The 26,734-nt window shown below is 39.5% G+C and overlaps 1 protein-coding gene and 1 long non-coding RNA gene across 11 annotated transcripts in view, besides 5 other annotated features; one reads left to right on the forward strand and one right to left on the reverse strand.

The window, feature by feature from the left end:
- IGF1 (insulin like growth factor 1) overlaps positions 1-26,053 on the reverse strand; it is an 85,966-nt gene extending 59,913 nt beyond the window's left edge. For 3 of the 10 annotated variants that reach the window (XM_017019263.3, XM_017019262.3, XM_017019259.2), the window contains exons 1-2: positions 25,917-26,053; positions 19,857-20,013 (exon numbers count right to left, since the gene is read on the reverse strand). In XM_017019263.3, coding sequence (XP_016874752.1) covers positions 19,857-20,013; positions 25,917-26,030 — 271 coding nt within the window. In that variant the 5' untranslated portion in view covers positions 26,031-26,053. Of the gene's footprint in view, positions 1-19,856; positions 20,014-22,700; positions 22,765-24,532; positions 24,778-25,916 lie in introns of those variants that run through there. The other 7 variants (NM_000618.5, NM_001111283.3, NM_001111285.3 and 4 more) reach the window with 3 other exon arrangements.
- Positions 1-26,734, forward strand: part of LINC02456 (long intergenic non-protein coding RNA 2456) — a 432,422-nt gene that overhangs the window by 176,213 nt on the left and 229,475 nt on the right. Inside the window, exon 11 of the long non-coding RNA XR_007063427.1 lies at positions 1-26,734. This exon is cut by the window's right edge and continues 1,368 nt beyond it. This is a non-coding gene — a long non-coding RNA (long intergenic non-protein coding RNA 2456).
- Positions 10,411-10,580: an enhancer, noted in NCBI's record as "experimental_23075/23079 CRE fragment used in MPRA reporter constructs". NCBI's record gives its function as "activates a minimal promoter by MPRAs in K562 erythroleukemia cells, with activity observed for both the introgressed and non-introgressed 12:102860060 variant alleles {active_cell/tissue: K562}" and the evidence as "EXISTENCE:reporter gene assay evidence [ECO:0000049][PMID:34662402]".
- Positions 19,465-19,966: an enhancer, noted in NCBI's record as "H3K4me1 hESC enhancer chr12:102869029-102869530 (GRCh37/hg19 assembly coordinates)". NCBI's record gives its function as "activates a minimal SCP1, AML or CMV promoter by ChIP-STARR-seq in naive H9 embryonic stem cells {active_cell/tissue: H9 hESC(naive)}" and the evidence as "EXISTENCE:reporter gene assay evidence [ECO:0000049][PMID:30033119]".
- Positions 19,967-20,466: an enhancer, noted in NCBI's record as "H3K4me1 hESC enhancer chr12:102869531-102870030 (GRCh37/hg19 assembly coordinates)". NCBI's record gives its function as "activates a minimal SCP1, AML or CMV promoter by ChIP-STARR-seq in naive H9 embryonic stem cells {active_cell/tissue: H9 hESC(naive)}" and the evidence as "EXISTENCE:reporter gene assay evidence [ECO:0000049][PMID:30033119]".
- Positions 23,233-23,492: an enhancer, noted in NCBI's record as "active region_6881". NCBI's record gives its function as "activates an Ori minimal core promoter by ATAC-STARR-seq in GM12878 lymphoblastoid cells {active_cell/tissue: GM12878}" and the evidence as "EXISTENCE:reporter gene assay evidence [ECO:0000049][PMID:35858748]".
- Positions 23,583-23,632: an enhancer, noted in NCBI's record as "active region_6882". NCBI's record gives its function as "activates an Ori minimal core promoter by ATAC-STARR-seq in GM12878 lymphoblastoid cells {active_cell/tissue: GM12878}" and the evidence as "EXISTENCE:reporter gene assay evidence [ECO:0000049][PMID:35858748]".

The raw sequence follows: 26,734 nt of genomic DNA on the forward strand, positions 1-26,734 counted from the left end.
GTTGAACCTGGCAGTCAGCTTGGATGGGAAGTTGCCATTTCTCTCTCTGGCCCTGGGAAGAGACAAGTCATGAACACAATCAAGGACAAGAAGTTGGTTAACCATATGTAAAGAGTTGGGATCCCATTGGATATCGCTTCCTGGAGAATGAAAAAATATGGCTCCATATCAGGCAGGTGCTCAGCAGCGATGGCTTATGGCCCTTCCTCTACTGATCTTTTCCTTTATCTCTTTGGTCATTATGCTCAGTGTTAATATGGGTTGCTAAGGAACCATATGTACATGGTAATTTGGTAAAACATCTCCCTCACAGAAAGCAGAATTTTGGAGGAGGGCGTAGTGGCCATCTTAGGAGCATCTGAGGAGAAAGTTTTGCCCCCTTTTAAATTCCTAACACGGACATTCAACTTATTCAATTTTTTCCATTTAAAAAAGGTGTGTGTGTGTGTGTGTGTGTGTGTGTGTGTGTGTGTGTGTGTGTATTGTCTAATCTAGAGATCCTGAGGAGCTAAGAAGTATGAACAAACGCACTTCAAAGACTAAACTGGACATAAATTCAAACGAGAAGAAAGTCTTCATTTAGGGAAAATCAGAGAAAATACTTCAGGGAGGAAAAGGTATCAAATCTAACTGTTAGCATGTAATAATATTTTGTCAGAAGTTTTTCCCTCATTTCTGCTCAACTACAGAGTTTCAGCTAGCATTAATCTTCTAATCAAAAGGGAACAAATCTATTTATAATTGACATAAATGATAGTCCTATTTATAGTTCTCTTTGGCGTTCCATGCTTCTCTGTGGGAGATCTTCCCTGAAACAAAAGCCTACTTTTTGAAGCAACTGTGTTCCAGGGACAGCCTTGATCATTTCTGCTGCCCGAGAGATGTATTTAATTAACCTCTTATCCCTACTCATGGGATGGCGGAATGTGAAAAGTACTGACCAATATTACAGCAATTCCTACATTTGCCCTTGTAATTCCAGTCCACAGAAATCATACATGACCCAAAAAGGAATGACAGTCCCCACGTTCCAAAGGAAGGGGCATGAATGCATCTTGGCTAACCCACTTTCAACTTCAGGATGTACTCTAGCCTAGCCCTCCCTCAATTCTAACAACACTTCACTCAAATTACCTCTGGAAACTGGTAGCGGGTCCTGATTTTCTAAGAATTTTGTGGCAATTCCACAGGTATTATCTCTCCTGGTACTAAAAAAACTGCTTTGGGTAGGCAGGCAGGGCTGACTGTACCCATTTGACAAGGGAGAGAATTGCCTGACAGAACCCAGCCAACCAGCGAATTCAAGGCTTTTCAGGGTGTCCAGGTCTCCTCACCTCATATTCAGAACTCTTTTTGATATCCAATGTTGTCATGCTGATAGCAAAATAAATATTATTCAAATATACCCAGACATTCACTTAAATTCTCAAACTCTGCTTAAATTCACTCAAATTCTGCTTAATTTATTAACAAAACTCTGTTTTGAGGAATCCTCATGCTAAAAGAAAAGCAACCAACAGTGCCCATGTTATCTGCATCAAATCCTATCTGGACCGGGGGATACAGAGGATAAGATGGGAGGGGAACCTCATGACTCCAGGTAGAATTTTGACGCATCATTGAACTTGAGTTGGAAAGACTGGCCTGGCAGCTCTACAAAAGGAGGGATTTTTTCCTAAGCTTTTCATCAACTCAAAGTCAAAGCGGCTTGTTTGCCCAGTATTTCTGGCCTCTCTCAGTCTATAGAACACAACCATGCCTCTACCTAGCCAAGGACCCAGGCAGACAGAGAGTACATGAAGGTGTAAATTCCACCTACTTTTAAACTTTAGTGGACGATTTCACAAGACTGTATATATAGAGAGAAGGATGAAAATTTTTTGTATTCTTTTGGAAATTCAGTAAACATATTTTGAGATCTGCCATATCCAGGAAGAATAAGAGAAAAAAATGTTATTTTTATACATTATTACTTACTTTAATTCTATAGGTTTATGATGATTATTCTGACATATGGGTAAGAATTGTTTTCTTAACCAGATTGAAGGTAACCTTAAGGCAGATTTGTATGTTACTTTTTGGGAGCATGATGGGTGTTCATGAACGTTAGTTTTCTGCTCTGGCTTTTTCGTTTCAGCTTCCCCTTGGTTTCTAGCACAATTCTAGGTACACAGTTATCCATAAAACATTGCTGAATTTAATGACATTGAAAAATAATGACTTTCTTCTTCTTGGTCAATATTTTGCAACTGGTCATTCCAGTCAAAATTCACTAAGTTGGATCCATTTCTGGTGCCTGAGATTTGATTCTATAATCTTGTAACTTGTTGACAATCCTTCTGCAGGGCAAACAGGAATGCGAGCCCCTTTCTAGTTATTCAGAAACTTTAGAAATTGACACTTTTGAATGCAGCATACGGAGTTCTTTCTGTTTCATTTTTTCTAGCGTATTTGTGCTCTACCTGGCATTGACTCAATTCATTATCTCAGCCCAGCCCCCAGGAATAGACTGACTCCTGCAATTCTAACACAAGTTGTGCATACTAAAGGATTTGCTGATGCTCCTCATGAGGCATGCAATAGTGTTTTAATCTGGAGATCACAGCCAGCTTCCAACAAAAAGGATCATGTTCTGTTTACCTAAATTCCCTTAGTAGTTTCCTTTAGATACAGCACTTCTCACTCTGTACTTGAAAATACCGAAAAGTCCATGGAGGCCTTCCGACTCAGCCATGTCTACATTTCAAATGAGTTACTGCCTTCCTAAAGGCACACATAACTAATCTAGGCCTGTAAGGCCACATAAAAACGAATAACAATTAATTCCATGCAGACATGGATAGTGCAGTGTATGAGGGAGTAAGTGGGAACTTACAGAGATTAATAAAACATAGCCCTCACCTTTGCAGAGCTTATAGTTAAGCAGATGGTAGGAACACTGACCAAAAAAAAAAAAAAAAACCAAAAACAAAGTGCTGTAAGAGTAATATTATTGCTTCTCTCTCTCAGAGGAAAGAGGGTTGACATCTGGTAGAAGATTTTACAGAGGAGGTGACATTTGAGAGAAGAAGAGAGGAAAGTCCAGGAAAATAAAATAGGTGGTAATAAGTCACATAGGTCGGATGTTGGAATATGTAGGGGGTCATTTGTAAACTTGGTGAGTCAATCAAGTCAATGTCTCAATGACTACAGCAAGTCATGCAGGCAAGTGAAGTAGACCAGAGCAAGGCAATAGAGAGTGGTGGGGGGTTTTTGGTAAAGCAGAAAGCATGTGCCAATATGAAGTGGAGAGTCATTTAGTAAATACTGACAGATAATTCAAATTTTAGTAAAAACACTGTATTCACTACACAAAAACACTTATGAGGACTGGATACAACTTACAGATTGCCAGTTTGTGAGCTCTGCTGTAGGGATACATTAAGAAAGTCAGATAGAGACCTTACGTAAAATGCCTTACTGTCAAATTGGGGAGTTTGGACTCACTCAATTTACATAGCCATGAATGGTCCCTGGATGTTGTTTAGAAAAGGGATAAAGTGATAAGAATTGCTTTGGAAAGATTAATCTCATGGGTGGGACGGCTGGCCTCAAGCAGTCTTGCACATAGCACGATCATGGAGGAGGCTGTTGCAATAGTTTTGGTGGGCGATGAGGAGGATCTAAATAGTGATGGGACTGGAAGGATCTTCCAGTAAATAGGTAACAGCTGTTATGGATCTCGGTGCAAAACAAACTGTAAGGCTACAGCTTGTTTTGTCTGAAGAGTTGGGTTGATGGTCTCCACTGTGCTCAACACTTAGGGTGATTGTGCAACCCATCCATTGCATTGGCTGGGAACCTGGCCTTTCCTGCTTTACAAGGTCACCGGCTAAAAACTCCACTTGCTCTTGAGGAAATATCCCTTTGATGATGTCTAAATTTTTGAATGTTCAGTTTTTAAAATCTGCCTTCTTCCTTCACCAGAATGACTTGATTGTCTTTTAAATTCTAGCTCAGCTGTACCCTTGCTCTGTTTGGGGAGGGCTATACAGTTCTATAAAGATGAGGTTTGTGTCTTATTTATATAAACCAGCAGCAGTTAGTCTGGTAACTATGTGATAGAACAAAGGCAATAGATATGTCTTGAACGTAATAAAATAGACAAGCGTATAGTTAATATCCAACGAGATCTTGCATATTTGGAGCAGGAGTGGCATAGGTCAATGTATGCTGAGCCAGATAGGTATATAATGAATAAATTAAGCCTGCAAGGGCACACACTTCACATAAAAGGGTGACCAAAAACTGCCACTCAAGAATGCAGGCTCAGCCATGCTGGATTGCACCATTTTTTTCATAAGAGAAGTTGTTAATCTTTTGTTTTTGCTTATAATCTCTTGATTTTTATATTTCCAAAATTAAAACAAATACATATTGGGTGGACCAAACAAAACATGTCTGTGGACTAGATGCAGGTGGGGTGGGAGTGGAAACGTTTTGTGACATTGCTCTAGAATATCAATTCCATGTGCATAGAGCTGTGCTTTACTCATTTCTTTCATCATTAGTTTTGGCTAACCAGAAGACACTCAATAGATGGTGTGGACTGGGATACCATAGGGGAGAACTATTCCCATCTGACTCAAGCCTGCAGTTGTATGATTGGAATTTCATGGGTCCCCCCACAAAGAAACCTCTTTGAAGGGATGGCATCATTCTCCCTTGGGTATTGCTAAACACAGAGCAGGTGCCCAGCTGATGATTCTACAATTAAATTGGGCAGAGCTATAATTTTACTTCCATACATTTTACTAAAGCACCCAGCAAAAGGAATGAGAGAATACTAACAAAGAAACAAACAATAATCTCCATATCCGTCAGATTTCTTAAGGGATTTTAGAGATTTTCATGAACAGCAGTAAACATTCTGGAAAAGGTATTAGAGATTATCTTGTCAACATTAATTCAATGGGTAGAGTGCCAATGAGTCAGGGATATCACTGTATTAAAATAATATGCATTAAATCTAAACAAATCAAATATATAGTTTTGGTCTAAGTCCAATACTATCTTATCCTTGTCAAGAATATAGACAAGAAGTGGCATGTTCTTAAAGTTCAAGTAAAAGATGTGTGAAAACAATGTGAAAACTATATTAGTGACTTTTTTTCCCTGCCAAACTGGGAAGAGAGATCACAATTATCACATTTCAAAGGTGGAATGTCTTGGTTCATTTACGTATCATTGTTTCAATGGCAACAGGTTTTGAGACCCAGGGGATTAATAATCAAATCTACCAAGTTATTTAGTGGTAGAGTTCTGAGTAAATCCAAGATTTTCTAAGTCTCCAATCCAAAGGCCCCCCTTTCTTTTTATTGTCATTTCAAGAAATACAAGTTAAAAACTGGTCCTCTCTCACTTTACCTGCCCTGCTGTGGGACAATGTCCCTTTGAAGAAGCACACCCTTCAGATATCAAGGCCTTCATTAATGACCTTCATTAATGGGCTCAGGCTGGGGAACTTGAGTTTCAGAATGACCCTCGTAAAGACCCGAAGCCAGCTGTATCTCTTTGAAAAGCAGTTTTAAAGTTTACCCTTCACCTTCTGATAGGTGACCAAAATAGACTTTTCTTACCTTAAAACCATTTCTCTAAAATCCCAGTGGGAACCCTCATAGAACTAATTAACTCAGACCCATAAGAAATAATATTAGAATCTGGCTGAGCATAACAAAAGATGAAATTTGATATGAGTAAAACACACATTCGTCCACTTAATGCAATTAGATTTTTTTCTTTTTTTGAAGCACTCTTGCTTGGCTGTTCTTGAAAAATGTAACTATTGAAAAAGAAACTGGCAAGATCTTAAGGACTGGGGCTCAGTTCCTGGCCCCAGTGATGGGCTTGGAAATTGCAGCTACAGCAATTAGAAGTTCCAATTTCCAGTTCACAGAAGGTCAGGCCATGGGGTTATCCTTGGAGCAGTTCTATCATTCCTCTGAGGAAAGGTTCCACCAACTTGAGGGAATCTGGACCAAATACCAGTGAATCAGCATATATATTGTTAATGGCCACAAGCAGGTTTGACCTTAACATCATTTTTGAAATCTGCAGTGACAGTTGATCTTTTTGTACTCTGTCTTATCAAATGTGAGCCACGAATTAGCAAGTACCTCTTACTTCCTGCCATTCTCTAGATGGGGCTTCTCAAACCTTAACACGCATCCAAATCCTGTGGGTATCGGGTTAAAATGCAGATTTTGATTTAATTGGTTTGGGGTCAGGGCCCCTGACTCTGCATTTCTAAAAAGCCCTCAGGTTTCTTTGAGTAGCAAGACTCTATGTCTATGTGTATTTTCACACACTAAGCTTTGTTTTTCCTAAGCAACATTGATACATTCCCCTTAGACAATTTGTTAATCAAACCAATTAGCCCGTTGTAAACAAGAGATACAAGAGATTGTTTCTTGCCACAAAACACTTTCCCTAGCCAGTTTTCAAATCTGGTTTTTCTAAGAGATAGACTTTTCTGTTCTTTATTATTACTGTTGTTTTTGATATGTGTGTTGGGGAGGGAGATCAAAATCATTTATATTCATTGAAACCAATCATCCACTGAATGACTTTAAAACACTAAGTGGCCAGTGTCTACTTCAGAACCAGCCAGAAGTAAGCCTTTCTTTGTCTTTAGCTTACACATCATGATGCTTTTGTGCAATGTTACTGAACCCCCATCTGACTTATCTGGTAAGAGAGATTTTCATAATTGCATGCAAAGCACCGATAATCTACAGAAATGCCAGCCAGATTTGTGGCACTAATACCTTTCACAAGTCTTATGATTCATATGACTCAGGGCCCACAGACTGTCTAACTTAAGGGAAGCCTGAAATGATGCTTATTGTATGTGTGTCATTGATCTTCTCAAAATTCATCCTCAAATATCTGTTCCATACTAGGAGGTAAGAATCAGCAGAAAAGAAGGAATCTTTGGAGAGCCAAAACCATCTCTACACCAAATTGAGAGACTGGAATTATAAGGTGAATGCAATTAACTGGCAGTCGCATCCATGTTGAGAACACAGTCATCCCTTTAATAGAGAACATTTGCTGTGCTTGACAAACTCACAGTGAAATGGTTGGATCCATAGGAAGCAACATGCTGAAAATGGTTTCAATATGATCCTGTTTTTTCACTCAATAGCCATTGATTGAGGGTGTCCAGCCAAAAACAATGAGAAAATGAGCCAACAATAGTCTTACCCTTTGACCATATTAGATAAAGTCGCAGCTGAAATTTGTTATATGTTTCAGGAATAACAAAGCATCCATATGGAACATATATTTGGCAGTGTGGCAGCTGATGAAACCAGGAAAATTAGACAAATTATCAATTGCTCGCTCCCAAATTACCCCAAAAAGAAATTAGATCCATTTTCAGTAGCTTTGCCTTCAAATTTCTTCATTCCGTGAGTCACCACTACCTTCTGCCAAACTAAATATGTCTATGAACGGCTGGAAACTTTAATGGAAAGAAACATAAAACTCAAACTACGTAGGAAAATTTAAGCTTCTTCATGGAAGATCTTCGTGGAAGACTAGCAAGTTAGGAATGTGTGAAGACAGACAACACATCGATAATTCCTTTTGTTTGGGGTCACTTCTGAGTTAGAGAGCAATGCAACATGCTGGCTTGACTTCAAATTAAAATCAGCTTTTTCCTTTATTTCTTTTGTAAGCCTCCAATCCCTCAAACTACTAGGGTTTATTAAGGTACACAGTCCTACAGTCAGGTCGATCAGATTTGGGATAAAGAGACTTCATGATGTTATCCGATGGATGGTAGAAATTAGTAAATGAAGATTTCATGAATGGCTAAGAGCTTAATTTTCTAGAAACTATTCTGAGGTGTTACACCAGAAGAATATGACATAGCAGTTCACTTTGAGTGTATGGACTGTGGTTATGAGCACTACCCTCATATGAGTTTATTGAGGTTAAGTTTAAAGGGTCCAGCTGTGCAAAGAGCTCTGGACCAAGCATGAGGTGACTGAAATGTAGCCTTGGCTTTCCGACCAGTAGCTCCAGCTTTTCCGACCAACTTTTGTGACCTCATGCACATCATGTTTTTTCTGGACCTTGGTCCTTTCATCTGGGAAGTGAGAGCACTGGATCAGATTGCTCTATATGGTTCTTTCTAGCTCTCTAATTTTTCAATTCTGCATTGGCAAATAGAAACCACTTGTAGTGTTCTCTAAGGGCTGGTGCTCCAGCTGTGATTCATACCTTAGCCAGGGATGTACCAGTTGTTGCATACCTTCCCTTGCCCAACACTACTCCTTTTAAATAACTCACATAGAAGTAGAGAGGAACTGAGTGGAGGTTCTGTTCTCACTTTCATAAGTAGACCTTATTGGTGAGGGTCCAGTAGCCTTTGAAAATTACCTGTTGACTAGAGTTAGCTTAATCTTGAGCTAGGCATTTTCAGTGGAGCAGTGGTGAAGGGGTCCTAAGAGGTGACATCTCAAGTAGACTTGTTGACTTTTTTCTCCTATATCTTCAATCTCAGATCCAAAATGATGTCAGTAGCAAATTGTAAGTCATGGTATATATTCTGGGGACTGGAAGAAGGAAATAGCTTTTGGAATGACATTTTCAATATCAAATCAAGAAATTTTATTAAGTGCTCCATACTAGATGCTGTGAAAAACAGGAGGGGGGAAAACCCTTAAAACTTAGTCTGTGTTCTTCTGAAAAAGCTCAAGATAAAATAGAGAGAATGAAAATTTACAGTAGCAGCAGTAGCAGTAGCCAGTATTTGATTGTGTGGTTCAAAAGTGTTACAACTGCATCAAATGTTGTGTCTCTGGGAGCCATGGGATGTGAGGCCCCTGGGATAGAAGAACCACAGGGTCACTGGTCCATATGGTGATAAAACTCACAATTTTGATTTCATCAAAGCCATTCTCAAACAAAAAAATTTAATTCCCCTAAGTCAGGCTGTGATAAGAAAACAGTTTGGATGTACAACTTGAGAGTGCGAAGATACTTTTTCTGATTAGTGAGTACATTTCCTCTGCTGAATGCTGCTTTTTGAGGCTAAGCAGAAATCACCAATAGCTGACTTGAGAGAATAGAAATCTTTTGCCTATATGTGATATCTCTCAGTGACTACCCAATCACCTCGTGGGGAACAAAGTCTTTAAGCAAGCTCAGTGTGGTAAAATGATAGGCCCCATCTCTTTGCTGCTTCTTCCAATGAGAGGAAATAGTGATACTGAGTGAGCATTCTGAAGATACATTAATTAACTCTTGGGTGGTCTCAATGTAAAGTGATATGTGAACAGGAGGCAGCAACATGCTTTTCTTTTTTAATTAATGAGGTTGAGAAGATACACTGCCAAATTAACTTTTCCAGATTATAATTGTTGCCTAAGGTTTTACAGAAATCATGGCATTGATCTAATTTGTGAGCCATGATTTGGGATACAAGGCAAAAAGCATCCAATTCAGTTCATCAGTTGTGACTATTTGGATGGCCCTTCGTTTCCAAAGCACTTCTACAGCTGAGCCTCAGAACAACTCAGAAGTGTATTTTTATTCCCATTTTACGATAAGCTATGTAAGGCTCAAGGACGTTAAGTGACTTCTCCAAGGTCATAGAACTGTTCAGTAGGGGAGCTGGGTCAGGCCCAAATGGGGAACTTCTGACTGTTTCTGAGCAATTGAATGACTGTGATAGGACTCAGATAGGAAAGGCACAAGAAAAAAGGAGAAAAATTTGGTCATTACCTTTGAACCAGGCTTTTTCACTTGTGAGGAATTGAGTTTATTTATTATGTGCCTGACAAGGGAACAGCCACATATGTTAAGGTCAAAGACAACTGGCTGGGTGCGGTGGCTCACGCCTGTAATCCCAGCACTTTGTGAGTCCAAGGCAGGCGGATCACCTGAGGTCAGGAGTTCGAGACCAACCAGGCCAACATGGTGAAACCCCGTCTCTACTAAAAATACAAACATTAGCCGGGCAAGGTGGTGCATGCCTGTCATCCCAGCTACTCGGGAGGCTGAGGCGGGAGAATTGCTTGAACCTAGGAGACAGAGGTTGCAGTGAGCCGAGATTGCACCACTGTACTCCAGCCTGGGCAACAGAGCAAGACTCTGTTTCAAATAAATAAATAAATAAATAAATAAATAAATAAATAAATAAATAAATAAAGATAACCAACTTCTTTTTAATTTGCTCCAGGTGGTCTCAATCAAACTTCTAAGCACAGGGTTCTACTCTGAACCATTTCTGCCTGCCCTTCCTTCTCTTACTAAAATACATGAATTCCATGGCTATAAGGCAAGAAAGAAAAGGCCTGCAAAAGGTTTTAAATAGCCTATAGGAAGAACTTTTATTTTTCAGAGAAAAGCTTTCAAAACCACAATGACTCTTCTCATGGCTTGCTCCAGGCAATGGACCATAGGCTCTGGATTAAACAGTGACTGAGAATTGATGTGTTACTTTCACTCATGGTTTTCCAATCTCTCTAATTGCCTCTCTTCTGGAGACTTGTCTAGTCTAGGAATCTCGACTCGGGGGTGATTTTGCCCCCAGGGGTACATTTGGCAATGTCTGCAAACATTCTTGATGGTCGTGACTGGGAGGAAGGGACTGCTGGCACCTAGTGGATAGAGGCCAAGTATGTTACTAGTTATCGTATAATGCACAGGGCAGCTCCCTCTCCCAGCAAAAAATAGTCTGACCCAAAATGTCAATAGTGTTGAGGCTGAAAAACTCTGTTGCCAATGGCGCTTGGGGAAAGTTGACTGAGGAGTATGAGAATAAGGTAAGATTTTAAAACAGTCTGGGCATAGTGGCTCATGACTGTAAATCCAGCACTTTGGGAGACTGAGGCGGGCAGATCACTTGAGCCCAGGAATTTGAGACCAGCATGGGCAACATGGTAAAACCCCATCTCTACAAAAAAATACAAAAGTTAGCCAGCTGTGGTGGCATGCGCCTATGGTCCCAGCTACTGGGGAGGCTGAGGTGGTAGGAGGATCACTTGAGCCTGGGAGGTTGAGGCTGCAGTGAGCTTTGTTCACACCACTGCACTCTAGCCTGAGCAATGGACTGAGACCCTGTCTCAAAAAAACAAAAACCAAAATGAAAAAACCCACATCACTTGGTCTCATAAAGAGGTTGGGGATAGGTTCAGCAAGGAGGGAGAAGAAAAATCTATAGTGTCCTTAAATCCATTTAATCCAGAATTCTAAGTCTTGGTGCTCCTTTCCCCAGTTTTACAGGTAATCAGGAGTTGGCTGCATGTGGGTTGGCTCAGTGCAGACTTTCTAAATCACTTGCCTCTGATGAAAGACCCATTTCATCAGGGTAAATGGCACAGAGGTAGTACCATCTTCCCAGCAATACTCTCCGGATTGCTTCTATGTCTGACAAATTTTCAAAGTTTAAAAGGGTCCCTCAAAGAGCCTTTTAGTACCTCATAAAGACCAGAGATGAAAGAAGAAAACCAGAAGAGATTCATAGAGTATTTGCTTGGGAGTCTGCAAAAAAATCAGGTGTAAATTTCTTTTGGTTTGGGACAGTCAGAGAAATCTCCAGAAAAAAAAAGCTGATCCAACAACTCGTCAGACTGTTTCAGATTTTCCAGGAGCGCAGCTTTGCTAAGTCATTCCAAAGCATTTCTACCAAAGTTGACATTGGAGAGAGTGACCATAGAGTCAGAATAGTATAATATACAATAATAGTCAAATTATGACCTTAAGTGGACGGAATGCCCAAAGTACATGTGAAGGCTTTGCACACCATATAGGAGACAGGCAGGGAATCACTTTAGTTTGTACAAATTTCCACAGCGAGGGAGCAAAAGTGTTAACCTAAGTCTCAGGTGAATTTATTGAAAGGAAGGAACCAACAAGATCTATGCTCATTTGGATGAATTTGATTGGTGGCTTCTCTTGGTCATTTTAATTTACCAGGTAACTTTGACACAGACATGGCTAATTGTTGCTAAATGGAGGAATACTGCAGTGGGATGAGAAAAGAGAATCACAGTATCTTCTCCCTTTGTCACTAATTAGCTGTGTGACTTTGCACATGTCACTTCTCTCTGGATTTCAGTCAGCATTTGGCTAATTCTTATTATTATCATTTTCATGTACATGAATGTATGGGGTAAAAGTGCAGTTTTGATACATGACTAGATTGCATAATATTGACAAGTTTATTTTTCAAGGACTTCTAAGTTTGTAGCAATCTTCAATTTTATTTTCTTTGAACAATCGGGTAGTTTTAAGAGGGAGAGATTACAGAGATGTATACTTAATCAATAATCAGGTTCTTGGGTATTTCCTCCCCTCTTTTTGACCCCTCTTTTTTTTGGCATGGAAATCTTTATTCCTGCAGAATGCCTGAGCATTTAATGCAAAAGATTTTAATTTAAAAGAGGCTGTTTGGTCTCTGCTGGTTGCACAATTTCTCTTTGTGTCTGTGCTGCTGATGATCAAATATTGCAAAGCCATTAATTACCTTAGGACAAATGCAGAGGGCCACATGCAAAGGTTCTGGCCAGTTGCAGAAAGCAATATGCCAGATGTAAAGTAAGTGAAGGGTTTTTCTTGGTATTTAAGGTTCAGTGAAAAAGTAAGAGGGGCAGCTATGCCAAGAATGAAAAGCTAGAGCTTGCCAAGTGCTTCTTTAAGTGGCTTTAGCCAATGTGAGACTAAACAATGCATTAAATAGGCATACAACTTACTGCAGTTAGGGAATTGCTTGTCAAATAACACCTCTTTGCTATGTTTTAAACATGATCTCATGTATAGATAAAGACAAACAAAATGTTGTGTTGTCATCTCCTTAGTCTAACAGCTAATAAGGCCTGGGGGTTTGAACTTTCCAGGCAACCTAAAGTAATTCTTTGGGATGTCTCATGGAGAGGTGTACGATGGAACTCTGCCAGGGCGGCAGCTCAATGCGAAAACGATTTTTTGCCACCATGGGTTGTCAAAGATGTCTGGCTGCACAAAAGAGCAAAGCCCTTGCAGGCTGTTATCGAGAACAATGAGACATCTCCTTGGGAGAGACCTTGTGGCTATTTTCACTGTGTCTGAATCTGTGGTGTGGGCTGTAAAACCAGAAGGAAGGCTGCTGAAGAGATGAAGTCAGCTCTAATGGAGATCTTGGGCAATGATGGCACGACACAAGATGTCTGGTCAAAGTATTGGAGGCCCATTGAATTAGCAGAATGCCAAAATTCTCTCCTGGATCCAAAATGTCTCCCCTACCAGCCACTGGAGATAGGATACATTTCAATACCAATGGTCTTCAAACAGCTCGTTGAGTAATACCAGCAAAGGTGGCGGTCTTGCATCCCAACCACTGGCTGCTCCCACATCTCCTTTATTTTGGGGAAGTTTCTTCCTGCCTGGATTATGGTGTCTGTGACCACCTCCCATTACTACGACTCTAATAGCACCCCAAGAAAAAGTTTGGTCCAATTAAACAGCATTTTTTTAGTAGGTCTTTGAGAAAGACCAATTAAACAAATAGTTGCAAGTAATGAAGCACTTGAGGTTTGCAGGAAGAGGAAGAAGATTTGAAGTTGGGCAGAAGAGAAGCTCCCCAGATCCTACTGCATATCCTGGTGTATACAGGTGAGTTGCAGTGTTCTGTCTGAATTCAGTCTGTGAAGGGTCTTGTACAGCAGCAGCCTCTAATTAGCCTCTTCTAAAAGAAGACTTTTCTTGTGCATCCTGAGGAAGTTTTCTTAGAATTTCCTCAATTTTTCCAGAAGCTAAAATATAGGGTCATTACATAGATATCTCTCTCATGCCTCTTTTCAAGAAAGTGTTCAAAATCAATTTAGTCACCCTGGGATTCTTGCTCCTTATCTCCCAGAAGACTACTGGGATTTTGGAAGCATCTCCCTATGCTACACACTTCTTGGAGGCAAGAGAACCTAGCTTTGTTTCTGGAACCATTCAGTGGGGTAAGTTACAAAATGTTCATGTCTCACATTTCTCATTTGTCCCATGAAGCAATAATCTTTGCCCACCAAAAGTGGAGTCAAGACAAAGTGAGAGAGCTGATACAACTGGATTTTGAAAAAGTAAATATACTAGATAAACATAACATTCTTCATGTGATTATTACTAATACTACTACATAATTCTTACTACTCATAATAGGTTTTTAATCAGCTGCCGCCAAGGAGAGAAAATGAGTGTGTAATTAATTGGGCCGTTCATATACCTCAGCATTGGCAATAGATTCTGCAATTGATCTCAGAAGAGAATAATTAAGTGTAATAGCTCACATATGTGGTGCTTACTGTGTGCCAGGCAATATTCTAAGTTAACATATTCCAATATAATAACTAATTTAATCCTAACACCAACTCTATAAGGCAGGCCCCATTTTACAGATGAGAAAATTGAGGAACAAACAGGTTAAATAACTTGCTCAAGATCACTCACCAAGTAAGTTGCAGAGCTGGGGTTCAAACCTGAAGTGTTTGGCAATAGAGGCCATGCCCTTGGTCTTGAACCCTTCGCTCTCCTGTTTATAACTCTCCATCAGGAGGGAGATGGTCTTGAAGGGCATTAGCATGTCAGAAAAAAATGCAAATTATTTTCTAATTTTGCATCATTTTCTTAGTGGTCCTATGGTTGCAGAAACTGGTCCTTTACTATTTAAAGACAGGAACAAGCATTTGGGGTCAATATAAAAACACATTGCTTCTCTTTAATAATATCTGTAGCCTATTAGCTTAGTGGTACTAATGAGGCCAGGGTCATAAGGTCAAACCCCACATGTACCAATTAGTTTCAAAGAGAAAAGCTTTCCCACAGCTAGTGACTGTACCCCTAACTTTGACCAGCTGTCACACAGATGCATAGCAGGCAGTCTAAGGGGTACCAATAAAAGGAATGAAAATGATGCAACTCAAATCCAGCCCCACTCAAAACAATGCTAATGGTGGGTGAGTGTGATGTCAAATTCACCAATTATACACTCTCTTCTTTAATTGAAAAGGTAATAGGCTGGGAAGAGGCTTTTGGTGAAGGTTTAGAAACCTGTAGATTCTTATTTGTCCCCTCTAATTTAATAAAGGGCATCTAAAAATGTACATACTCACTTGACCTCACAGTCAGGAGAGTGAGAGAATGTAAAGATGAGAACTGTCAGTGGGTCTATCCTAACAAAGAAAAATGACAGTCTGTTTTCATGAAGCGTGTGCTTCTTTGGCTCCTTAGTCCAAAAGACCTGCATGTATTTGGTCATATCTAAGCTTCTATTCCATCCCCGAGGGGTTGAAATCCAGCTTAAAGCAAAACAAAACGAAGAATCTGGCTCCTCTTACTTTAACTGGGTGGAATCTCCTATCTCTGGGGACCAACAGAAACTATGTAAATAAGATAAAAGAGACTAAATGTTATTTGGTCACTACTTAAATCCAAGGTTGTTCTTTCTTGAATAGCACCAGAGCTTTGTTAAATACAACCTAGACTATGAGTCTGTTAAAGCTAGAAGAGGTCATTTATTTTAATAAAATTCCCTTGTTCTATGGACAAGGACGTTTAGACCCAGGAAGTTTAAATGCCTGCCAAACTCCTACAACTAATGAACGACAGGTCTGGGAGTAGTTTTCTGGGCAGTATATATCAAAGGAAAGAAGCTTGACTTAATAATAATAACCTAGATCTAAGAAGGTTGTTGCAATCAATAACAATGAAAGTTCATTGTAAAGTTTCACTTAAAGCTCTTACAAAACAGTCTGTTTTAACCCATGAAGAATGCCATTCGTTTATTCAGACCTGTTCTTAATAACTATACATTGGAAGTATGTTTTACAAAAGCTATAAATCCTGAAGAGCTGAAAGAATATCCAACTTGGCTTTTCTAATTGATTTACTTCTCCATTTCCCCAGACCGCCAAGGTAAAGCATATACAGTTTATTTAAGGGACTGTTTATAGACTCTTAAAACTTAAAAAGACCCCAGAAACTCTCTTTCTTTCAGTTGCTCTTAATTGAAACCATCCAAGATGGTTGGTTGTCTGTCAATTTTTTAAGAATCTCCAAGGAGAGAAATTCCACAGGCCCATAGCAGCATGTTAAAATGGTTAATCACCATGGCTGTCAAAAATTATATCTATGGTAAGCTTCACTTCTCCTATTTCATTTGAAGCTCTTTTTCTCTTGGTGTTTTTCATGCAAAATGAGGTTGTAATGAGCCACCCTTTATAAGGGCTCCATCAATCTAGTAAGAAAATCGCTAGCTCCTTCCCAATGTGCTTTCATCTCCATTATGCCACCATTTTTCTCACAGGACTGCAAGAACACAAGGCTGGCTGATAGGCTCTCCTATCTTCCCTATGATGCATAGGAAAGAATGAGTAATTAGCTCTTCATTGGGTCTTTCATTTCATAAAATGTCTAGGGAAGCTGCATTAATTATACATGAACTGTTCCATTTATGATGGGATAATGTTCACAAACAGATAATCTAGAAGGTTGCTTTCACTTGCTGTAGTGGAACTTGGGCTTGAAGGGGAATATGAGCTCAATTCACATCATTGGGTCAATCTACACACAGTAAGCATTACAAAATATTTTATTCAGAACAGTTCTAATAGAGTTAAAAAAAAACTCTCCTTGTTAAATATTGCAGATTGACAAAAATGATAGATATGGAGGCAATTTTCTTTTAGATGTTTGAATTTCAAACTAAAATCAGAAACTGCCTTCTACTACTAAAAAAATTGTACTTCCAAAATGGATTTGAAGCAGTTTAAAATAAAAGTCACAGCCACAATAAAACTTTGAAAATAAGTGTAAAGAGAATAATAGGAGTCAACTGACAGTGTATAGAGGTGGGGAAGAATGCTTCCCTCTAAAAAGTATTTCAAAGACTATGTGCTTAGAGCTGACTTCTCCACACACAGTAAATCTCAGCGGATGAAAAGGAAACTGAATGAAATTTGTTGACAACAATTGATGCCTGTAGGAATAATTGGCTCAGACACAAAACAGACATCAATGTAGCCTGGGGATGACCAAAATGCAGCAGCCTCTAAGTCATTGTTAGTATATATTTTTTCAGTTCAAAAAAAAATAAAAGCAGTTTTATTAAATAACTAGATAACCATGAGGTGAGAAGTATTGTCCACAGTACTTGACAACCTTAATTCTTGATGGTTCTTAAGACCAAGATCCCAAACAAGTAATTCCATTCTATTCGATTGGATTCAACTAGACTCAATTCAATTCAATTCAATCCTGTCAGTTCAACAATCAAATATGGGCAGCTACTATAGCATCCAGGCTATGAGCTAGACACTTGGATTCAAATGTAAATAAATATGTCCTTTGGCATCAAGAAGCCCATTGACAGGGTATTATTCTTGGCAGGGTAGACCAAAATATTCAAGAAAAACATAAAGGATATAATTTATTCTCCATGGTTATTTTTCTCTTATGACAATAATACTTAGTTGCATTTTTCTTTTACCACTCAACTGTAAGCCCCTTGAAAACAAGGTCAATCTCTCATTCATTTCTAGGCATCTCATTCATATCTCATTCAATGCTTACACATAACAGATGCTCCATCAATGTTTTGAATTACATGAAAATAATCTAAATGGACTAATTTCTTTTGGGCAAATAAGATTGTCCAGTTGACTAGAAAGTTAGCAAGAATACTTTTGGGCATGAAGGTATGTTGGACACTTCTGTGCATGAGGGTATGTCGGATTAACATAAGTCATGGAATTCTATAAGGCAAAACTCATGACACACATATTTTCAATGACAATACTGACAAGAACATATGATTTACAAAGCCACTTTCTAGCTAAAGTCATATAGTAAGAATCAAGATTTGCTATATATAACATTTCCTTTTCAAGTTATTGAGATACAATTTTTAAAAATTTGCTGAAATTTGATTGTTGCAGTAACAGAATAAGAGAACCTGGAAATTGGTTTCCATTTTAGTTGTCCAATATCCTTAAGTGTCTGTGCAAACACTTATAAGTATCATACAGTTACTTAGGAACAATCATTTTTTCCATTCTAATTTTTCATCATTTAATGCAAACATCATAGGCATAGAAAGATCCAGTTTTCATGCACTGTGCATGGAAATTCTGGAGCAATGTCGTGTTGAACATCACAATTCAACCTGGCACGTAACAGAGGACACTTCTAGGCTTGGCAATTACCTAGTGAACTGGATCAAAGGAAATTGCACAAATGGATTATCAAGGAAAAAAAAAGTCCCCTTGGGCATAATAAGTGAGAACCACTTTTTCATTTCTTTAAAAAATGAGGATCAGTAGCTGCAAATTATAGAATAATTATGACCCACTGTTGGATCATGTGATGTCCCACAGTTATCTTCCACAGGATATTTTAAAGGTAAAACAAGTCTGCTATTGGAAAATCACTCACCCAATGCACTCATTCATCTGCTCTGCAACAGAGAACTGGATAGAATTGCTTTATTGCCAGAAAAATAAATGAGTTCGTTCAATTAAAGGACTGGCTGGAAGCAAATAGTGGGAATTTGCCTATTCAAATAGTAGAAGGCACTTCTGATTCTTTGTCACTAGTGATTTAAAAACTATTTGTTGCCAAATCCACTGTAAGTACTGATCGCCAATACCCTCACAAGCCTCTTTCTTCCCATCTCCCTTACTGATCTCCAGACTGGTATACACAGGCCACCCTCTACCCTGCCAGTCATACACACACATACCCCACCTGCCTAGAGAGAGGCTGACATTTGGGAAGGATGAGAGAGACTTCAAGTGTGTGAGTCATCACAGGAGCTATTCAAAGCATAGTGGGTAACTGAGGTAAGCTGTCTACACTGGAGTGATATGAACCTTTAAGAATGACTCATGCTCAGTTTCCTGGAACTCTCTAAAACTCCAAAGAATTATAAGGAACAAGCATCTGGCTTTAAATCTTTCTCTGTCCTATAATATACAGTGAGATAGATGCATGGGAGCTAGATTCTTTAAGTGATCAGTTCCCACAGGAATCATTGACTTTTGCTTGTGTGTATTATTTATACGCCTTGACTTGGCTGTCTACTTTTTACTGGCTGTTGACTTTCTAATCACCTAAGAGCTATTTAAGAGATAAGTGATTCTGTACTTGTCAGAGACCCTTTTCCAGATGGTGATATCATTGATGGGTCCCGGAGAAGAACTATGCCAAAAGAGAGCAACAACAAAAAAATCAAGGTCAAGTGGCATAGAGGGCAAATCAGTATGGCATTTCAGTTTGCATTTAGAGACAGTCTGTGTATTTGCAAACAGGCCTGCCTTTAAGGGGAGTTAACCTTCTGTCTGTTCATGGTGATTTCATATTGAATGGAGACATCTAGGATATGCCCTTTAATATTTTTTTTCCCAGATCCACATGACTGGAGAGTCCTTACTATTTTACTCCAAATCACATAGCACTTAAAGCAGCCCTGCATGTGTTCCATATGTTTATATGTGCGCCCATAGGTTTTGAAAACAAAAACATCAATACCTCAGGGTTATTTTGTCCTGTCCTTTCATTGAAAGGAATGGAATAGTGAGGTGGATCATAATAGTTGAAAGAAGGCTTAGCAGGAAGTAGTTAAAGACGAATTGTTAAGGAGGAAAATTCCATCCTAGATCTGCAAAACCTGCCAAAGTCCCGCCAAAACACTATGCTTACTTTAAGGTGAGGAATCTCAGAGGCCTAGGATGGCTGCCAGATACGGGCACTCATTCAGTTATTCACACACTCCCTGCGGTTGTAAATCCACAGAGCTGTACACTTTAGACTTGAGCAGCACATTGAGAGGGAGGGCTACTTACTGAAATAAAAGCCCCTGTCTCCACACACGAACTGAAGAGCATCCACCAGCTCAGCCCCGCAGAGCGTCTCCGGTCCAGCCGTGGCAGAGCTGGTGAAGGTGAGCAGGCACAGCGCCAGGTAGAAGAGATGCGAGGAGGACATGGTGTGCATCTTCACCTGCCCAAGAAACAGAGGGAGGGTCAGGTTTCCTCCTTGATCCTTGCAAGGGGAGTGGGGTGGGACAGAAGTGCATTGACTCCCACGATTCCACGACTGTCATTAATCAGGACTACCCAGCACAGAAGCCAATAGAGTACATGAGAACCCAGAGGGAGTTGTGGATGGAGCGTGTCTCGGCATCCAACAACCTGTGTTTATTCCCCTGGCTACTGTGGATCTTTGGAGGAGTCCTCCCTGAACCCTTTCTTTATGGGTTCCTATTTCAATGAATTGAGACAAAATATCTAGAAACGTTTACTACGGAAATGAAAGATGCTATTATTACAGTGGGATCCCATATCACTCTGAGACCCTGGTAGAACTTTTGAATTATCAAAGGTTAAATTGTGCTCAGTACAGATTTGGGGCCAAATAAGTTTTGTTAATTTAAATTCTCTCAATATTGGCCATCCATAGATGGTATATGCATTCATTATTGAGCAGAATATTTTTAACCAAAACATCATTCCCTATTTTTGACTAAAAATAATTTACTATGGCCAAAAAATGGCTTTTGACAATACTATATATCATCACAGGGTTTTGTTTTTGTTTTGTTTCCTCAATATGAGAGAGAGAGAGAGAGAGAGAGAGAGAGAGAGACTGATTCCTTACCTGGGGCATATCAGCAGTTGACACAACCACAAATAGAAGAAAATAACAGAAACAGAAAAAAATATGAGAATCGAAGAATGAAATTGGCTCAAATAGAAACCACTCCTGTATTCTAAAGTCCCTGGCCTCAAGTCCAATATCAAATCAACACGTGTTGAGAATCCCTTCTGTGTATAGGGCACTGGGCTCAAACTGGCAAAAATCTTTTATTTTATTTTTAGTCACAGGAATTATGGCTTCATCTCTTGGAGGGACTTATGTGTCACTGTATCTATTTTATAGCAAAATATACCAAGGGACCCCTGGTTGGCATGACTTAGTCAATGATAGACTGCCAAACGGCAGCCTTGCCAAAAGCAGCAGTCCTGTGGCTCAAGTCTTCATCCTCACTCTAAGTAGTAGAAACCATGCTAAGATGATCATTAAGTTTTTCCATATTGTTACTTGTGGCACAAAGATGTGGCTTTTTCCAAGAAGCCTCTCAAGGTGAGTGGCTTCACTTCTCTCAGATGCATCTACTTTCAGCATCATGGGAAGAGTCCCTGACAGGGTGTTAGGTGAGGGGCGCTATTAAAAGGGTTGTGGAGTCATGCTGGAAGCTATAATTATAAGAAGAGCATTTTTTTTGAACCTCAGAGTAGTGGCAGGTCCATTCAACCCCATCACTTTTGGAGAAACAGTCATTTATTTTCTGACTACCCTCCTTGCCCTCCATGGACTCTCAATTTAGTGGCTCTATATCAGTGGCAAAATTTTCCCCATCATTCTAATGATGATTTCCATTTTTTGTAGTCAGACCTTCACCTCAGCAACTGAGGAAAAAAAAAAAAAACCAAAACCCCTGTCTCTCGTTAACAAAATATAAATATTCAGTTAATGGTTGTAAAGCAGTTGAAGATGAAAAGCGCCCTCTATTTGCAAATGATCATAAATAATGGACATAAAATAGAAGAGGAGGTAAAAGCTCAACTGAACATTTACTGCATTTTTCTCAACAAGATCTCCGCATGGAAATCTTCCACCCCCTACATAGCCCAAAACACTGGGACTGGAAGAAGCATGTTATCATCCAGTTCTCATTTTTTTTTTTTTTTGGTTGTAAAATTAGTGGGGTTTTCCTGTTCAATATTTCCATTGGAAACCTCAACAAATCCAACCCACCTGGACCTCGTGGCATTTTTCAAAAGAACAAACCTGTGATTGATCTTGCAGAGCATACCCCCACACTGCGGGAATGGGCCAGTTCTAGAAAGTATGTTATTCTACCGAATCCTATTTCTCCACCCCTCCCTTCTTTGTTGCGTTCATAGCAATGCTGAAGGCTAAGCACCTGCAACTGTAGATGCCTTCAAGTTCTTCAGTTTTTGTGAAATCCAGGGAAAAAAATTACTCAAGTTATAGCCTTAGTGAATTTCAAACTTCATTAGATGTCAAAACTATATTTTTAATAGTTCTAGTATAACACATTTAAGTGCAGCGATACATATAAGTCTCTGGAACTTAAGAATTTAAGATTTTTTTTAAATAGATTTCTCTTTTTCTTTTTTTTTTTTTTTGCTGAGTTATATTGTCAGATAAATCTCAGTACTTACAGTTCTAGGACAAGACAGAACCTCTAGTGCATTTTCCTTTAGTGTAGGGAACAGTCCAGTACACCCACAGAGAACCAGAGAATTTTATGTTCCCACAAATGAAAACAATACCGAACTTGCTTAGGAGTTTAAAGTGTGAAACAAGTGGTCCCATATGTTCATTATTTCCTTGGCCTTTTATTTTGCCAAACACAAAAGAAATCAATAGAGAGAAAGGAAAGATATGATAGAAAAAAAAGGGAAGAATCAGAAAGACATGAGAAAAAAAGAAAAAAAAATCAGAAAACACTTTCTCAAAAATCATTCACAAACCCAAATTTTAAAAGTTCTTTTTTTTTTAATCTTAGATAAATGGAATATTAATTGATTCCAGATGTCTGGGCCACAATGAAAATGCCCTGTAAAATTTGAGGGCAACAGTCATAAGAAAATACTCACTGTAGGTGTAATCATTTTTGTTTGTTCCAGGTCTTTTACAGCAGGTCAGGGTGGGTATTATGAGGCCGATGTGAATAGAAAACTGAAGTCTTAAAAACATGTGCTGCTTTGTGGGTGGGGTTTGTGAAAGCATCTAGTTACATTTGGACACCCAGGCAGGTATGCTATTATGAGCCTGGGTAAACTGCCTTTTGTCCATTGAAACAATGAACAAATTGCACAGCTGGGATTTAAGTCAATCTTTTCCCCCCAGTCAAGCCACCTATTTCCATTGTATGCCTATTGTAGCAGCCCAGATAGTGACCCAAGCTCCAGTCCACTCCCTTACTCCCTTCCCCCGACTCACTCACTTGGAAATACCTTGAGAGTCAGAGTACAATCAGCTGGTGAGCTCTGCCTCTGGGCAGGACACCTTTACCCACTGAATTACATGTGAAAGACCACGCAGCTCCCTCAAACCACTTCCTGCTTCAAGTACAGAAAAAAGTAACAACTTATTAAGAGCTCCACTTCTGAAGTGTTCAGCATACACAGCATGAAAAGTGCATTTGGAAACAATTTTCTTAACTTGTAATTAATGCAGAGATAACGCTCCACAGCCTCTTTTATGATCCCCTAAGTAAGGAGACAAAAACTCCAGCTGCTAGATCACATAGTATGTATGCACAGTGACGTCATTTCTTTGAAAGCAAGGTGGCCTGCATGTGTTGGCATCTCAGGAACAGCAGAATCAGGTGCCTGACAAGGGTGTATCTTTAACTCCTGGAGCCACTTACTTGACTAGGGAAAGTCGTAGTGGTGAAGTGTTTGAAAGCAGCAACTGAATGCTGCACTAAGTGGCAGAGACGTCTTATGAATTGAGCCCTCAGGCAATTGAATCGGTGGAGCCAGTGACAGCAGCTTAAAAGCGCTTGCAAATTGAAAAAAAAACACAAGTCTTGAAGGATATAATTTTGCTGAGAATGGAAACTAGAACTACGGCCAGCAATCGGAAACGAGAAGTCGGTGCACTGACAGCAGCAGCCAGATTTACCTAAAGGGACTTCACGACACTGAATATAAAATCAGAGTTTTATAACACAGAACCCCAAGTCCAAACTTTGCCCATGAAAGTCCTCTTCTAAACAGAAAAGTTGGGCAAGCAGCTCTTAGAAAGTTTCTGCTTTCCATATACAGTATGTATTTGTTTAAATTATACAAATATGCAAGGTCAGCAAGAGTTGTCAAGGAGTTCTTTTTTGGAAGAACAAATTACACTTTACTCTAACTTTAACACTCTCTCTGGGCATAAGTGCAGAGTTCCGGGACCTTAGCTCCAAAGATCATATTTAAAAGCTTTAATATCATCTAAAATACAACCCTTCATATATAGCATGCCTTGTAAATAAAGTCCTGATGAGTTACACACACAGAGACACATACACACAGAGACACATACACACATGCAAAAGAACATGGTCTTAAAAATAAAACATCTGCACCTGCAAAAGAAAAAAAAAATCCCCAAGTTCATATCCATGCTCTATAGCCCTTAGCCATAGAGAGGATTTAAAGGAATCTTCTGTAATGACACCACGGAAGCCCTGCAGAAGTGGAGGATTTAGCATAAGTACCTTGCAATAGTTTCTACTCATACAGATATCTGTGCAAATGCATCCATCTCCCCGAGCTATTTTTCAGATTCCACAGAATTGCATATTCAGCAATTTATAAATAACTCTCGGTTCCGAAACAATGAAAATTTTAAAGTGAAGAACAGTTCTAGGCAGAAGCAAACAGTACACAATTTAAATAGAATTCCCCAATGACTTCAAAGAGTAAGAAATATTTACCTTCAAGAAATCACAAAAGCAGCACTTAAATAATTGGGTTGGAAGACTGCTGATTTTTCCCATTGCTTCTGAAGTACAAAGTCTGAAAATGAATTGGTTAGCAGGAATAATGAAGCAAAAAGAAATCCAGAGAGATGGGAGATGTTGAGAGCAATGTCACATTTCAATTTTGAGGACTTTATTCCATTGCGCAGGCTCTATCTGCTCTGAATTTAGCAGTGACAGTGAGATTTAGCAAACAGAAGAGGGATTTAGAGAAAATCCTCACATTTATCTACAAAACACAGACACTGTAGACAGGAAACAGCTGGGGGAACATTTGCCTTCTCTCTCTCTCCCTCTTCTGGCAAAGTTATTGAGTAAGGACTTTTTTGGGCATGGTGACAAATAACATCATACCTTTGCATTTTAAAACTAGAGCACAGAAGCATTTTTTTCCCTTAAAAGAATGTGTGTTAGTGACAGGGTTCGCAGACATTAAAATACTTATGCTGCCATAGAAAATAAGGATCTGTTTTCTGATTAACTTTCTGCTGGGCATGAAGACACAAACGTCTGCTAATACACCTTACCAGTATTAAAGGAATATGGGGGATGGGAGAGCAATTTTAGATTCTAGAGCAAATGCATTATTTAAAACAAAAAAAGAAAGAAAGGACGATAAGACCCTCTCCAGCAAACTCTACAATTTTAACCCTGAAGTGACTGGGGTAAAGTAGATTGGAAGACAGCACTCGGGTGACCCCTTGTCCCAGTTGCCAAGTGAGAGGTGTGATCTCATTTCCTAGAACCTATGGAGGGGCAGGCAGCATTGGATTGGTCCCTTTAGGGCACTGTCTCATACTTTTTCTCCTGCGATGAGGCAAAGACTATGCCGAGCTGTAAAACCCAACTGAAATAGAACATTTTTCTTTATTCTTCTACTAGGCTGCCTGTCACTGTCCCCTCCCCACCCCACCACTCTGGGAGAAGGGTACCTGGGGGGCAAACAATTTTCCTGTTGTTTGAATTTTCCATATAACTCAAACCTGTGTGTGTGTGTGTGTGTGTGTGTGTGTGTGTGTGTGTGTATGACAGAGGGAGTCTGTGTGCCAGAGTGTGTTTTCTTTCTCTGATTTTTGTGTATTCTAAATAACACCAGCTGGCTAGCAATACCCTCTCGAGGGTTATGATGTCATTCAAATCCCTCAACTGGGTGACTGGCCGGCAACATGGTCCAAGCCAGCTGTTTTGCTATTTATAATGTACACTTGCCTTTGCCATTGAGAATTCAGTTCTGATCTTTTGTCGATACAGTTTGTACCTATTTCCCTTTGGTTTTGTGAAGCAGTAGATAAGAAAGTGAATTATAAAATAAGGTTGCAAAAGCCCAGAGCAGACATACCTCTTTCCCTAGAGAGCTCTCCAGGCCTGGTTTCCCAGGAGTGGTGGAAATAACCTGGACCTTGAATTTTTTCTTTTTTTTTTTTTCCACATGACTCTCAGGGGACTGACACATCAACTGAAAACACAGTTCTGCTTGAAATCCTACTCTGGCTCTTTGTGTTATCCTGGGGCCAGAAATTTGTTTGTAGAAGTGGGTGCCCTAACAAAAAACAAACAAACCTGCTTTGTTTGGAAGGGGGTTGGGTTTGTTTGAGTCTTCTGTGTGGTTAATACATTGTAGCAATGTTTACCTTTCAGAAATCAAAGTTAGAAATCTGGAATTATGTTGTGTCAATGGTGCACTATGTTCAGCAACATTTTGTGAGCTCTACTATGTGCCCAACTACAACATCCCTAGGAAAACAAAGAGGAATAAGATATGGTCAAGTCCCTTCAGGGGCTTTCAGCTGAATGTCAGAGACAAAGAGGAAAACTTCACAGTCATATGATGGGCATGTGCTCTTTTAAAAACATGAACAGTGCACAATGAGAGGGAGTGACACATTCTCTGGGAAGACAGGGGAGTAAAATCTTTTGGAAAATCCAAAATGAGGGAGGCAGATTGTGTCATGAGAGGCTTTGGGGTACCATGTTGGGAAATTTCAGTGGGTGGGATTTGACCCAAAGAGCACACTAAGAGGTATCATCAAGAGGTGGCCTAGTAGGTGGCCCTGGATTATTCTTAATGCAGGGATTATCCACATGTGCAGATGTGTGAGTAATCCCTGCATTTAATAATAATCCGTGGCTTCCTTTAATAAGCTCTCTTTGTACACT

This window comes from Homo sapiens, chromosome 12, assembly GCF_000001405.40.
Source record: "Homo sapiens chromosome 12, GRCh38.p14 Primary Assembly".
In the NCBI taxonomy this organism is placed as follows: Eukaryota; Metazoa; Chordata; class Mammalia; order Primates; family Hominidae; genus Homo; species Homo sapiens.